Source organism: Homo sapiens, chromosome 5 (assembly GCF_000001405.40).
Source record: "Homo sapiens chromosome 5, GRCh38.p14 Primary Assembly".
Lineage (NCBI taxonomy): Eukaryota > Metazoa > Chordata > Mammalia > Primates > Hominidae > Homo > Homo sapiens.
In genome coordinates, this window is record NC_000005.10 from 42,546,316 (window position 1) to 42,560,559 (window position 14,244).

General features: G+C 39.0%; 1 protein-coding gene across 9 annotated transcripts in view, besides 13 other annotated features; it reads left to right on the forward strand.

Moving 5' to 3' along the window:
• Nucleotides 1-14,244, forward strand: part of GHR (growth hormone receptor) — a 298,440-nt gene that overhangs the window by 122,877 nt on the left and 161,319 nt on the right. Inside the window, exon 1 of one of the 9 annotated variants that reach the window (NM_001242402.2) lies at nucleotides 1,728-1,836. The exons of 5 other annotated variants lie outside the window; for them this stretch is intronic. The gene's annotated coding sequence lies outside the window, so the exon portion shown is untranslated. Of the gene's footprint in view, nucleotides 1-1,727; nucleotides 1,837-2,134; nucleotides 2,215-3,240; nucleotides 3,383-3,764; nucleotides 3,802-14,244 lie in introns of those variants that run through there. 3 more of the 9 variants (NM_001242403.3, NM_001242404.2, NM_001242405.2) reach the window with 3 other exon arrangements.
• Nucleotides 4-1,897: a promoter, noted in NCBI's record as "BamHI/KpnI fragment for V1 promoter; similar to V7P1 (PMID:17991764)". NCBI's record gives its function as "promoter in HepG2 liver cells" and the evidence as "EXISTENCE:reporter gene assay evidence [ECO:0000049][PMID:9075743, PMID:17991764]".
• Nucleotides 4-3,816: a biological region, named in NCBI's record as "GHR downstream promoter region module B". NCBI's record gives its function as "regulatory_interactions: GHR".
• Nucleotides 44-1,254: a transcriptional cis regulatory region, noted in NCBI's record as "XbaI/BglII fragment for NRR3". NCBI's record gives its function as "negative regulation of transcription" and the evidence as "EXISTENCE:reporter gene assay evidence [ECO:0000049][PMID:17991764]".
• Nucleotides 121-147: a protein binding site, noted in NCBI's record as "HNF4 site 6". NCBI's record gives its function as "negative regulation of transcription" and the evidence as "EXISTENCE:protein binding evidence [ECO:0000024][PMID:17991764]".
• Nucleotides 1,249-1,514: a transcriptional cis regulatory region, noted in NCBI's record as "BglII/EcoRI fragment for PRR2". NCBI's record gives its function as "positive regulation of transcription" and the evidence as "EXISTENCE:reporter gene assay evidence [ECO:0000049][PMID:17991764]".
• Nucleotides 1,509-1,741: a transcriptional cis regulatory region, noted in NCBI's record as "EcoRI/PvuII fragment for NRR2". NCBI's record gives its function as "negative regulation of transcription" and the evidence as "EXISTENCE:reporter gene assay evidence [ECO:0000049][PMID:17991764]".
• Nucleotides 1,736-1,897: a promoter, noted in NCBI's record as "PvuII/KpnI fragment for -158 promoter; corresponds to PRR1 from PMID:17991764". NCBI's record gives the evidence for it as "EXISTENCE:reporter gene assay evidence [ECO:0000049][PMID:10715538]".
• Nucleotides 1,736-2,045: a transcriptional cis regulatory region, noted in NCBI's record as "PvuII/BamHI fragment for NRR1". NCBI's record gives its function as "negative regulation of transcription" and the evidence as "EXISTENCE:reporter gene assay evidence [ECO:0000049][PMID:17991764]".
• Nucleotides 1,736-2,045: a promoter, noted in NCBI's record as "PvuII/BamHI fragment for V1P4". NCBI's record gives the evidence for it as "EXISTENCE:reporter gene assay evidence [ECO:0000049][PMID:17991764]".
• Nucleotides 1,819-1,845: a protein binding site, noted in NCBI's record as "HNF4 site 1". NCBI's record gives its function as "postive regulation of transcription" and the evidence as "EXISTENCE:protein binding evidence [ECO:0000024][PMID:17991764]".
• Nucleotides 1,911-1,942: a protein binding site, noted in NCBI's record as "GAGA site". NCBI's record gives the evidence for it as "EXISTENCE:protein binding evidence [ECO:0000024][PMID:21238539]".
• Nucleotides 2,040-3,438: a promoter, noted in NCBI's record as "BamHI/ScaI fragment for V4P1". NCBI's record gives the evidence for it as "EXISTENCE:reporter gene assay evidence [ECO:0000049][PMID:17991764]".
• Nucleotides 3,433-3,816: a promoter, noted in NCBI's record as "384 nt fragment for V8P1". NCBI's record gives the evidence for it as "EXISTENCE:reporter gene assay evidence [ECO:0000049][PMID:17991764]".

Sequence of the window (14,244 nt, forward strand, 5' to 3'; positions counted from 1 at the left end):
CTGGGATCCAACATCATAGTGAGTCTCAGACATGTTCCACAAGTCTAGATAGCCCTCATCCATGTGTTCAGTGGTCCAGCCCATCAGCATCCAAGCCAGCAGGGTGAGGAGGGGAAGTGTAGGGGATGCTCATTGCCCTGAAGGATGCATATGCCACTTCCATTCAGGTCCTGCTTGCCAGAACATAGTCATGTGACCACAGTTAGCTGCAAGGTTGGCTGAGAAATGCCTTTCACTGGGTTCTATTACTAACTGAAAATGGGAAGAGTGAAAGTTGGGGATAACTAGTAAATATTAGTTAGTCCAAGTCATGGATTGTGGTATTAATTCCATGTGCTAGGAAGGTCATTTAAATGTTTTATGCAGAAGGATGCCATGATGATAATTATGTTTCAAAGCATATTTGTGTGTGAGAGAGAGAGACTGAAAGAGAAAGTGAGATAAATGGATTGGAGAGAATTTGTCTGAGTGTTAAGAGGCCATTCTCAAACCCAAGTGGGAAATGGTGGCTAGTAACAGTAGTGAGGATAAAGGGGGATGGAATGGACTCAAAAGATACAGAAGAGATAACATCAAAAGATGAAACAGGGGCAGAGGAGGAAGAAAAGACATCCAGATAACTCCTAGGTTTCTGATTTATACTGCAAATTCTGGGGATCAGGTGTTTATGGACCACTGAGTTTAGTTTTAGAAACGTGATTTAGAGGTATTTGTCAGATAGGTGGTTTCTACACATTCAAAATAAGATTTCAAAACATATTAGCCACAATTCACAATCAGCAAAATTCTCAAATCTAGTCATTGTCAACTAAACTATTAAAATGAATTTTCCCCTCTAAGTGTTTCTCATCTTAAAGGGTTTGTATGTATTACATGTCACAGTATGGTTTATTGCATATAAACATGGGAAAGCAAGCCAGGCAGAAGGAGTCTTGTAACCAGCTAAAGGCCCAGCTAATTCTTGAAGCAGTCATAAATCATGAACGGTCTTCTTGTGTTAATAGTGTGGACAGGACTGTTGGTCACACACAGGAAAATGAGTCACACAGTCTTGTGTGTACAGCAACTCACTCCACACTCAATGATGGGAATGGTCATGATTGTTCTAACTGTGTGAGCAGCTACAAGAATTATGGCAAAGCTCCAGAGCTAGAAAGCTGGTTTTTTTTTTATGTCACCCGAGTATGTAATTCACTAAATGTTTAGTATTTTATACCTTTTAGTTGACTTGTGAGCCCTTTCTAAAGGAGATCTATTTCCCTCTACTAGAAGGTAATCAGAAAAACCCTAAACTACGTTTTCTAAATGCTGTGTTCTTCTGCCCAATTGACCAAAATATACTTAGTTGATTAGGACTTTGAAGGGATGAGATGAGGGGACTAAATTAAGATGCAGGAATTTCAGTTTTCTAGGGGTTTTCTGTAAACTACTTTATACTGCTGACAAATGGTTAAATGTTTCCAATGAAACTAAGTATGCTAGGATTTCTAATGAGCAATGAAATTTTAGAATTCATTTACTCATTAATTTCTTCATTTACAAGATGTACAATGTGCTATCTTCTGGGCATTTGGGGTACTTTAATGAGGTAGCAGTGAGTACCACAAATGGTCACTTCTGCCTTTGTTCTTATACTCCTTAGAGAAGGGAAAGGACCAGATTCAGATACCCTATCACTGCTTTCTACCCATCCAGATCAGAGCCTTTGCTGAGTTCTAACGCTTAGCCCTCTTCTCAGCTGATTTGGCTGCCTCCATTGTAATAGGCCTCATGAGACTCCAGCCTAGGCCTGGCCTTCAGTTCAGCAGGCAGAGCCCAGAGATGTACTGGGCAAAGGTCAGGGGATTTATTATATGAGACAATGGTCTGATGTGATTTAATTTACTCCTCTGGTACCAGATATGTGTGTGTGTGCATGAGAGAGAGAGATTGAGAATGACTGATTTGGGAGGGATTTTGTGAAGGTTTATATATCAAAGCAGAAAGACCAAGAATTTAGAGATTAATACATGCCAAGTGGTAACCAAGAAACTTCTGTGGGATCCCACCTCCAACCCCTCCCTCTCTGTCAGATTTTAACCAAATCAGTGTGATGTGATCTGCTTGCATATATGAGTGAAAGAAAAAGGAAATTTAAAAAGTTCTTGATATAAAGCCTGGAGGAAACAATACGAAAATCCAGCCTCTATTTCAGCAATATCTGCCGGACTATTGGTTAGTATTCCCTTACTGTTACTTATTGTTTGATTAAAAGGCTGATAGTCAGGGTTTTTTTTTTCTTACTTTTGCATTTTTTAGATATAAATCTTTAATATATGGCTGTGGCCAGATGTTTTCCTTTCTCCTCCCACTTCGTTCTTCCCTCTTCTGGGTTAATTTCTCATTGTTCTCTCTTCCCCTTACTTCTCTGCCCTTTTCCTTTCTACTCTAAGCGAAACTTCTTTTTTTCTGTGCTGGAGTTTATAAAGTATTCTTTTAGGCAAAGAAAGCCTTTGGCTGCCTTCCTCCTTGTCTGGTCACCATCAAGATATAATTTTGGTTTTCAAAGGTTGTTCTCTGAAGGAAGGACTAGTTTTCTGAGCATTTAGAGAGCAGATACATTTTGAGAAAGTCAACAGAGATAGTAATTTGCACTCAGGAAATACTTAAGGGTTTTAATTCTGTTCCATGTGTTACATTTCAACAGTTTACATTAAGAAAAGTATTGTAAAGAGAAGTGATACCACAATTGCATGTTTATTTTGCATCTTTAGTCTGAGAGATGGTCAGTACTTTGAAGGAAAGAGAAATAGGGCTTTGTCTCCTTCTGCTTCTTGCTATACCTCTTTTCAGATTAACTCTGATGCTTTGGGTTTCTTACTGCATGCCTGATTAAAACCCATCCCATAATGCCTGATGTGATGGGAACCACCACTTATTCTATCTCAATGGAAAGTATTCACATGAGCTTTCAACAGAAGGACATTCTCCCACCTCTTCCAAACACCTCTTTGAAAACCGTGTCCATGGGCCTTTATTCATGTCTTCAACAATTTGTTTAAAACTGGTTGTGCTAGGTAGTGGGCAATATAAAGATGAGCCACAGGAGAGAGATGACAATATCACTGATTCCTTATAGTGCTGTAATAAGGGTTTATTAAGGCTGTGATAGAAGTAGAGAGGAGAGGCACCTGACTTCACTTGGGAGTGGGGTTGTTGCTAAGGTGTTTCTAAGTTGAAATGTCCTTGAGCTGAGGTTTAGGGGAATGAGTAGCAAAGATGGATTAAGTGAGAAGAGTATAGGAGGCAGCAGGGCCAGAGGTGTGAATAGCCCAGAACCTTCTGAGAAGATTCCTTTGTGGACGGAAGAAAGGGGAGGTTTGTGGAAATGGTGGAAGATAAGGTAGGAAGAGGCCACATCAGATCACACATGGCTGGATGTACCTCTCTAAAAGTACTGGGGGGTTTGAAACAGAGGCTATAAATTGGCAGTTTAAGAAAATCACTGTGGTGTCAGTGTGAAGAATACATTTTTGCAAGATTCTAACGAGGATTATTTTCAGAAATTTAGGCCCAATTTAGTCCAGATGTCAGGGCTAGTTTGGAGTAAATTTCTTTCTTTAATTACTCCAGGGCTCTTGTATTGCTTCAAAGAAAGTAGAAAGTGGAACTCACCCTCATTCAGGGAGGGTGGGCAAGCGACCAGCCAGCTGGGGAAGGCCAAAGAGCCAGGTCACCTTGTGCCCGCACTTGTTATGATTTGTTTGTATTGTCTGCCTGATGATCAATGATATTAGCTATGACAGCACGTATGAGCCTGGGGTAAGTGTGTCTTCTTGCTACTTGAAGTGCTTCTTGAAAATAGTGGCAGGCTGAAGACAACAAGGAATACTGAAAAAGCCCATTGGACTGGGGACAGGAGACCTGGTGCTGCTCCCAGCTTGGCCGGCACCAGCTCCGGGGGCTTAGACACATTACTTCACCTCTCTGGGCTTAACTTACCCCATTTGTAAAATGCAACCTTTAGACTAACACTGTTCTCGGGGCCATGTTCAGCCTCTGGCTTCTGTCATTGTGATCCTGCCTCCCCAAGGTTCCCCTGGGCCCCATCACTACTAACCCTAGGCTTCTAGACATTCTGATTCATAGAGAAATAGGAAAGCCCATTTATCTTAAGTTAATGTCAGCCAGAAGTACAGTTGTGTCTTAAGGAATCTAATCTAGTGAACATGGAAAATAATTTTCTAAGGAAAAAAATTGTGATTGGTGTTCTGTCCTGAACTGATGGCAAAAGGGAAGCAGAACCACTTCACACATCTCAATCTCTCTGTTTTTTCCTTTTTATCCTCTTGAATTTTTCTGCCTGTTTGTCTTTCAAAAGTAGAGAGGAGTTTGAATGGGGATGCTGAGGAGACTGAGGGTAGCCACCGATGGGGGAAGCTGGACTGTGGGAAGCCGAGTTCTGCCACCTGACAAAGGGGCACGTGTTTAGTGTTTATTTGGCATAGCAGCTGTTCAGGTGGAGCCCAGGCAGAATTTTGATGTCGTTGGGACCTTCCATACCTTTCTGAAATTCTCTTGCACCAACACCCGGCACCCTCAGGTTATGTTCTGCTGCCCAAAGCCTGAGGCTCAACTTCTAGCCCTCTCTTTTCTCTTTTACCGGAACTAACTTCTAAAAATCCAGAAATGACAAGTAGATGGTGGTCTGGATGTTCCTGAGGTGGAAAGAGAACCTCTAGTGCCTCTGGCTGACATTATATCCACTGACAGATCCCCTCCCGCACGCATACATGTCACATGTTTCTGCTCATTTATCAAATACAGCCCATGCTTTGGTGATTGAGAGCAGAGTGGGGATTATAAGTTGATGCAGTAGGCCTGTGTCTTGCCCTTAGAAGTTTACAAACAGCAACACAGGCACCAAGAGCTCATCTGTTACACCCACAGGGATTTATCATCTTGTGACTTGGATATTGTGGAATGTTTTATAGTAAAGGTTAAAAAAAAACAATGTAGGCACAGAGGAGTTAACAGCTAAGTTGCGGTGGGGAGTCTGGAAGGCTTCATGGACGTGGTGATATTTGAACGTGACTTTGAAGGGTAGGTAGAGTCCTGATTTGTCTAACAGTAGCCTTGAAAGTAAAGGAAACTTGACCATGAAGAAGGCTGTTGAAAGTCTGGAGAAAAGAGAAGGTAGGAGACTAAGACTCTAGGAGAAGGTACTACGTTCCAGGGAGAATGCAGAGGTAGAATCCTCCCTCATGGTGACAAGTTAAATGTGAGAAGGGATGGAGTAACCAACTGGGTGAACCCTGATCTCATTAAGCAAAATAAGAAATAGAAGAAATGAATCTGCATGCTCATAATGTAGGGATCAGAAGCAGGTAGGAAATGCTGACTTTATTTTAGACAGAGGTTATTTTAGGTACCTGTGGACATCCAGGTGTATTATTTCCCTATGTCTGAAGCACATGTCCTTTGGTTCTTTAGCATTTTGATGATGATGCTCCATGTAAACTGCCCCCTAGGATTTTCTATAAGTTTTCTTCCTCATTTGAGAGTAAAGTTTTAACTGGTAACATGATCACAAGTGGTTGAAAAGTTAAAATGTTATTCATATAGCTTTCCAATGAGGGGAGCATGAATGGTTTGGTACTGTTTTACAAGATGTGAAAACTGATTTCACTTAAGTAGACTGTAACATAAAGTTTATGTGTCTGTCCCTTTGGCTTCCTGGTAGGTGGACAGTCTCTCTGAATCAATAGTGGCTCAGGCTTCTGATTTCAAACCTCTTTGGCCAGCCAACTGGTTTAGGAGAAACATGGCCAGGTCATTGAATTATAATTTCCTGAGTTATGTTGTGGTGGTCCCGTAGGACAGTAAACATAAGCCTCCTGGGAACTGAACTTTTAATTCAGGAGGACTGAAAACAAGCTCTTCTGAGCCAAGATTTGCAAGGACATGTTACAAAGATAGACTGGCCTTCCTGCTTCCACACCATTTTTTCCTCCATAAATACATGCTCCTTTTCCGTATTTTTCTTCTACCCTAGTCTGTTGTAGATTTTGACCTTGGCTGTTACTTTCCTACCAACACATTGCCTATTTTTAAGTTTCCTGGTTTGACCTGATGTTAAGATGGAAAGCAAAGCTAGCAAACTGATGGAGATAGGGCCTTCCAGCCTTTCTAACTTTCCCTGGGATCATCTTATGTTGATTTACATGTTCAAAAAATTTTTAAAAATAAATAAATTGTATCAGTTGATCCAGAAGTGATTAGACTCTAGGGGCCTGATTTATCTTAGCCAAACTTAAGAGATGAGCCAATACACCAAAATGCCAATATATTTGTTTGTTCTCTATGGCACTGTCAAGCAATTTCATTTCATCTGATTACTGTGTTCATTTTCCTGAAAGATAGTGAACCCAGAAAACAAGAATCAGAAGGTCATTTGACAACTGTGGAGTTGGAATAGAGGGAACTGAATGACCCTCTATTGGGTCATGAGGGAGAGCATCATCAAGCTTTGAGAAATTATTGCACCTGTCTCTGTGTTGGGACATTTTTTTGGTCCCAGGTAGTTGGAAGAGACAAAGCTGTAAATTATTTACTAGTTTTTCAACATTTCCTTATCACTTATCGTTAACTGATGGAACTAAGTTTTCTCTAAAGTCCCTTATGAATAAAATTGCTAGACATTGCAAAAATGCCCCTCTCAATATTGACATGCTTCAGTGGTGATTATCTTCCTGATTAATGTTTACAGTCAATCTCAAGCTCTATAATGGACTCTTAAAGGCTGTAGTAGTTTTCTATTGCTTCCATAACATATTACCACAAACTTAGTGGCTTAAACAATACCCATTTATTGTCCCACAGTTCCATATGTGAGAAGTCTGGGCACACCATGGCCCAACTGGGCTCTTGCTTAGAGTTTGCAAGGCAGAAATCAGTGTTGTTAGGGCCTCTAGGGATGAATTTTCCTCCAAGCTCATTCCAGTTGTTTTCATGAACTGAGTTCCTTGTCATTGTTGGACCATGTTCCCCATTTCCTTGCTGGCTGTCAGCTGGGAGCCAGTTTTTGCTCCTAGAGGCTATCTGCATTGCATCTCATGGTTTCTGTGTGCCCCCTTCCAGCAACAAGATTCTATGTACCCCCTTCCAGCAACAATATTCTATGTACCCTCTTCCAGCAACAGAAGATCAAGTCCTTTTCAAGTTTCTAGTCTCTCTGACTTCCCCTTCTGCCATATCTCATTCTGCTTTTACAGGCTCAGGTGATTACATCGGTTTGTGCAGATAATCCAAGATAATCTCCCTGTTTTAAAGCCAGTGGGTTAGCCATCTTAATTACATCTGCAAAATTCCTTCACAGCAGTACCTAGATTAGTGTTTGAATAACCCAGGATGGTAATCTTGCGGGGGATCTTTTAGCATTCCATCTACCCAGTCTCATCAGCAACACTTTGAAATATTGTCGTTGAGTGATCATTTCTGTGGCCGGCTGATTTCATCTATACAAGTGTATTCTTTTTATTTGCCATTTTATAGGATAATATTTTCTGATCTTAATTCCATATTTCAGTATTAAAATTACTTGACATAGATCCATAAATCATCATCTGTTGCAAAAAAGCACATTAATTGATTGGTTGAATGGGGAGATTGAGATATTTCTTTTCTCTTCTTCTGCTCAGGTGGGGGCAACTTTTGGGGGCAGATGAGTTCTGTTGCCACAAAAGTTATATAGCACATTTGGTTTGCACTGAATCAGCGATTCTCAATCCTGGCCATGCTTTAGAATTATACAAGAAAAATCTTCAAGTATCAATACTCAGTCCCTATCCTACTGATCCAATTCATCTATGATAAAGCCAGAGCATTGATTTTTAAGTTCTGCAAGTGATTCTAATATACAGCCAAGGCTAAGAACTACTGATATGTTCCAAACACTCTATTTTGGAGATAAAGAAGTTGAGGCTGAGGATGAGAACTTAGTCACATAAAGTTCCATAACTAGTAACAGACAGAAGTTCTGTCCTACAAAAAAAAAAAAATTTGATGCTTTAATTGTATGTAGAGTTCAGTGCTCAGTAATTATGTACAAAGTGAGTGTTGAGACGATCTGGAACACCCTACTTCTTGCTTTAGTAGGAAGACTATTTCTTTCTACTACTTTAAAAAATTATCAGATCTTGCAAAATAACTGTATGAAGGTCTCTTCTCAGCAGCTTTGGCCTGCCTTGTGAGTAATAATAAACACAGATCTATTCTACACTAACTAGGGAGCTGGCCGCTTGGACTTCTACTACCTCTCTGTGTTCCAGAGCTTCATGGTACAATGCAGTAGCCACTAGCCACATGTAGCTATTAAACACTTGAAATGGAACTAGTTTCAACTGAGATGTATGTGAGTGTAAAAGGCATACTAGAATCAAAGATCCAGTATGAGAAAAAAGGTGCAAAATATCTCATTAATACTTACATTGATTACATGATGAAATAATATTTGAATATATTGAGTTAAATAAGATACATTATTAAAATTAATATATCAATTTTTAACTTTTTTAATGCAGTTGCTAGAGAATTTACAACTATGTATGTGGTTGGCATTTGTGGCTCACATTATATTTCTGTTAGCACTTTTCTAGGGAGTATTTTCTATTAAAGCTATTAACAATGAATGGTCCAAGTCCAAGCTATTACACCTCCTTTGATCCTGAAGAGTGAAGGGGTACACTGTAAACTTCCTGGAGATGAGACATGATATTGATCTGCCCTGTGTTTGCCATCTATCTGGCAGCCAGTCAGTCTGGCCAAATAGACTTCTATTTTTACATAGAAGCTTAAAGGAGGCAGGATAATGCCCCATGTCATGGAGAGAGCACACTGCATAGCTCTTGAGTAATGTACCCAAAAGTAGACCAGGTGCTATTGGAGGTTCTAAGGCATAGCGATAAATATTACATCCCTTGAGCAATGTAATACAGCCCTTGAAGAAACTGCCATGTCAGCACTTATGAATTATCACTGTCTTTGACAGGCCCTATGCACTGAAAATATTATGGTGTCTACCTCTCTTTATAATTCACATCCAAATATTACTCTGTCTTTTTCTTGCTCCCTGTAGTTTGTTCTGATTCACTGCTACCCTGATTGTGTGTTTAGTTTGCCTAGTTCACAATTGAAGAAGCATGGGAAAGTAAAGGCAGGCCTTGGAAAGATCAAGCACAGTTCGAAACCCTACCCAGAATTATTCTGTCTGTGTGAGCTTGGGAGATTTACTTAACCTCTCTGAGCTCCTCTAAACTTCCATTTTCTCATTTGTGAAATGAGCCTTTCTCTTGCAAGGTCTGTCTGAGGGTTGAATGAAATAAGAAGGTACCTGGCACACTTATTTTTTGGGTAGATGTTGTAGTGAACATCTACTCTGTGGCAAGCCTATGGCTAATTGTTAGGATGTAATCGTGAGTGAGACACAGCTACTGCTTCCAGCTAAGAGAAGAGAAAGACAAGGAGCCTGGTAACGTCGGGACATGAATAGCCGTCAATGAAAGGCAGCTATTATTACACTGCACAGTGCAGGATTTGGCTTATAACAAAATTTTAGAAGGGTGTTCAGGTGAGGGAATTGAGACCCATAGTGATTAAATGACTACCTGAGTCACCAGCTCGGACAATGCTGGGCTGATGTCAGGTTACGGGATTGCTGACTCCTCCTCTAGTAATGCCTTTCCTGGGAGATCACATTGCCTCACTCTTGGTTTCCCAACTTGTTTACCTTCAAAGAATAACTTTACCATGTTGGACTCGATAAAAGGAAAGAGGGGTTTCCTCCAATTTTTGCTCCATTTGTTATTAGGGCATGCTAGTAACTAACTGTCTTTGAAAACCTACGCTTCTGTTAACTCCAAAGAAGGCAGGAATACATGCACTTCTTTAAGATATAAAAAGTATTTAGTATACTATAAATTATTATAGTAATCATTGTTAGATTATATCTCACCAAGATAATGAATGTTTTTGTTTGAAGACTTCACTGTATGAGAAATTGTCTCCTATACCTTATTTATCTCCTTTTAGATTAGGTAAAACAAAATTTTCAAATTTGAGTCTGAAGAAAATTCCAACATCTTTAAATTTGTTTAAGGAACATTTTCCATGATCTATATGATCTATCATAGTAATTTAAAAAATCAGATTTTAGAATGAGCCACGTGTAGAAAGAGAAAAAAAGTAGAAAGTCAATAAGAGGTTTCATTTTTCAAATTTTGTTTTGGAAAAAACTACTTGGTAGGGACAATGGTGTAAAGTAAGATATAAGAAGGAATATACTGTTCAAATAAGCGGCCATGCAATTGATTTTCTCTTTCATGTAACAATCACATCTGCATTGTGAATCCGTTAGTGCACCAAGTGAATCAAGCTTAGTGAGTTGACAAACATCCACAGGGATAGTTGCGGGGAGGCATTATAAAGTGCAATGTGGTCCTAGTGAAACAGAATGCTTCGTTCTTTGAGAAAGTTCCACTCTGAATAGAATAACGGTGCATACCAATATCGGAGTATGGCCAAGCATTTGGCTACTGACATGCCCCTTCTTCTTTCACTCCTCCATAAAGGAAGAGACAGAGACTCAGGTTCTTGTAACTCAGTTGCCTTTTTTGAGTTCTCCCAAGAAAAGTTCTAACTTCAAGCCAAGCGTCTTGTCACTGGGATTTCTGTATCTAATTTTTAGTTCTAGAAATCCATGATTTCACAAAACAAATTATCCAAACCTAACGACAACCACATAGAACTTTCTTAAAGTAGACGAGGGAGGAATTAGCCCCTAAAGTATTTCCTGCACAATTGGAACTCACTATAGAAGATGTACAATTGCCTGTACACCCAAGCACAAATAGGCTGTATTATTGCCTTATCCTAGGAGATATACACTTTACATTATGATGGTCCTTCCCTTTCCTGGACCTTCATATGATGTAAGTGCTTGATTTAGGAATAGGGTCTTACATATTGTGGCTGGCGAAGAGCACATTTGCTGATTGCTCTACCACATGCCTAGATGTCCTCTTCATGATATATAAATGAGGGTCCCTACTCTCAATATACCCCATAGGAACATAATAAAACATAAATAGTCTATTTGTTACTACTACCAAGAAGACTTCAGTAAGTGTAATAACTAACCCTTTTGGATACATGCAGAGGGAATGCCAAATGCTTTAAATAAATTATCTCATCTAATCCTGATTTTTTTATTAAAAAGGGAAAATCTTATCATATGAATATTAGAGATGAGTAAACTGAGGTTTGGTAGAGCTGGGATTTGAACCTAGCCCTCTGTGACTCCAAAGCACATTCACTTAACCCCAAGCCCACCCTCTCTGTAAATGAAGATTAATGATAGCATCTGTGGTAGAAGCTAATGTCTCCTGACCTGGGAAAATATCTTTCAATGATTATTAACTAAATGTGATCAGCTGCCAGTGGATCAGATGTCATCAAATAAAATCGAGTGTCCAGGGTTTACTCAACAGTACTGTCTCTTACATTTTTTATCAATGTTAGTAGATTGCTTAATCTTTGTACCTGTTACCTCACATGAAGCCTAGATAGCATCAGTCCCTTCCCCAGCCAGTTTGTGCTGGGTTCAGCTTCTGGCTTGTGAATCCAGTCAGTGAATTAATGTTGGTAGCTTAAAAACAGCCCTGAGAGAGGTATTTACATCACAGAAATTGGCAAATGATACAAATCATGACCCTTTTTTTAAATTCCAGGGAGACAGGTGTTAAACATTTACCAGTACACCACTGTCTATGATTCAAATCGGGACATAATAATTGTATTTCTGAAGGTAAACAAATGCACACTGAGTACCCTTGGAAAAAAGCAACCTTCCACAGATACAATCACACCTAAGTCACCTAAGTCTTTAGTGAATTTTTTGTCCCCATCATTCTGCATTTGGGAGGACCTTTTACAACATAACCATAATGATTTTATATGTCATTTGAAATTTTAAAAAATTACTTTATTTGTTCATTTTTGTTATGAAAGCAAATATGCCCATAGTAAGCATTTAATGTTTTTGAATGTAAGTGCAGACATATAAACCATAAAATGTATATACGAATGCTACCAGTAGAAATAAAATGCAAGCCACATATGTAATTTAAAATTTTCAACTATAGTCATGCACCACGTAATGACTTTTCAATGATGGACTGGTCCCATAAAATTATAAAATCATGTTTTTATGACATCTTTTCTATGTTTAGATATGTCTAGATACATAAATACTTAATATTGTGGTAAAATTGCTTATACTATTCAATAGAGCAGTAACCTGCTGCACAGGTCTGTAGCCCAGAGCAATAGGCTATCCCATATAGCCTAGGTGTGTAGTAGGCTATACCATCTAGGTTTGTGTAAATACACTCTGTGGTGTTCACAGAACCATGGAATTGCCTAATGATGCATTTTTCAGAATGTATTCCTGTCATTAAGTGATGCATGACTGTAATCACATTTAAAAAATAAGAAATATTTGTTTTAATAATGGATTTTATTTAATTCAGCAGTTAAAAATATGATTTCAACTTGTAGTCAACGTGAACATTATCAAGATATTTTGCATCTTTTCTTCTTGTACTAAGCTTTCAATTCTGTGTATATTTTATACTTATAGCACATATGAATTTAGATGCTAAATTTTAATCATAAATACTTGATCTGCATTTACATTTCATAAAATGTAAAGCTTAAAAAGTGGGTTCATATATCCAATCTGTTATAGACTTACATATTTAATTAAATTAAATTTAAATTGTCATTGAATTCCTCAATTGCATTAGCCACATTTTAAGTGCTCAATAGCCACATGTGACTTATTGTAACATAATTGGTCATTGCAGGTACATACCATATATCCTTATTTTATAAAATTGGAAACCTAGGCTGGATGTGGTGGCTTATGGCTATAATCCCAGCACTTTGGGAGGCCGAGACGGAAGGATCAGGTGAGGCCAGGAATTAGAGACCAGCCTGGGCAACACACCAAGACCTTGTGTATAAAATAAACAAATAAATAAAAATAGCTAGGTGTGTTGGCACATGCCTATGGTACAAGCTATTTGGGAGGCTGACGAAGGAGGATCCCTTGAGCCAAAGAGTTGGAGACTGCAGTGAGCTATGATTATGCCACTGCACTCCCAACCTGGGTGGCAGAGTGAGACCCATGTCTCTTCAAAAAGTAAAAATACAAATAATATAACAAATAAATAAATAAAATTGGAGGCCTACTATATATACAACTCCCAAAAGTCTTTTCCCCCCTCACACGTTACACATTTAAAATTCCCATCCTGCATTCCCTGCTGGATCTCCAAGAGGAGAGAAATCTCAGCAAAAGTAGTTATATCAAAACTGTCTGTGAGCTTTTTCTTCCTCACTCATAGGAAGGAAATAAATTCACATAAGGCATTTTGGATCTGACCATTTTCCAAATTATCATCACCATAAAAAGTTGGTAACAACATGAACTCTGAAAGCAAGCTGTTTCAATGCATGCCTGGTGCTAATGAAAACCAGCAGTTTTAAATGCCCTTTTGGGTTAGCTTCTTCCTTTTTCTGTGCTGTATTATTAGAAAAGCTTCACCAAGGAGATCAACTAGATATAATTTCACAATATTTCTTAGTAATCAATGTTGGCATTTACTCTTCCCATATATTAATTTATTAACATCATGCTTCTAAGGATGCTTTAATCACTTTTTTAAAAAAAATACTTGATACAAATTAGAGGGTGTTAGTTATTTTAGGTGGTGATTTGTTTTGTTTCTGCAAAATTACAAACCAGATATGAGCATATTATTCCCTGTGTGGCTTAATAAACTGTTTTTTCTTTTTTGAGACAGAGTCTCGCTCTGTTGCCAGGCTGGAGTGCAAGGGCATAATCTCGGCTCACTGCAACCTCCGCCTCCTGGGTTCAAGCGATTCTCCTGCCTCAGTCTCCCGATCAGCTGGGACTACAGGTGTGCGCCACCACACCCAGCTAATTTTTGTATTTTTGGTAGAGACGGGGTTTCACCATGTTGGCCAGGATGGTCTCAATCTCTTGACCTTGTGATCCACCTGCCTCGGCCTCCCAAAATGCTGGGATTACAGGTGTAAGCCACCACGCCTGGCCAATACACTTTTAATATAATTTTTGATAAAGGTGTTATGGAGACTTGTCACCAAATAGTCTAGTCTTCA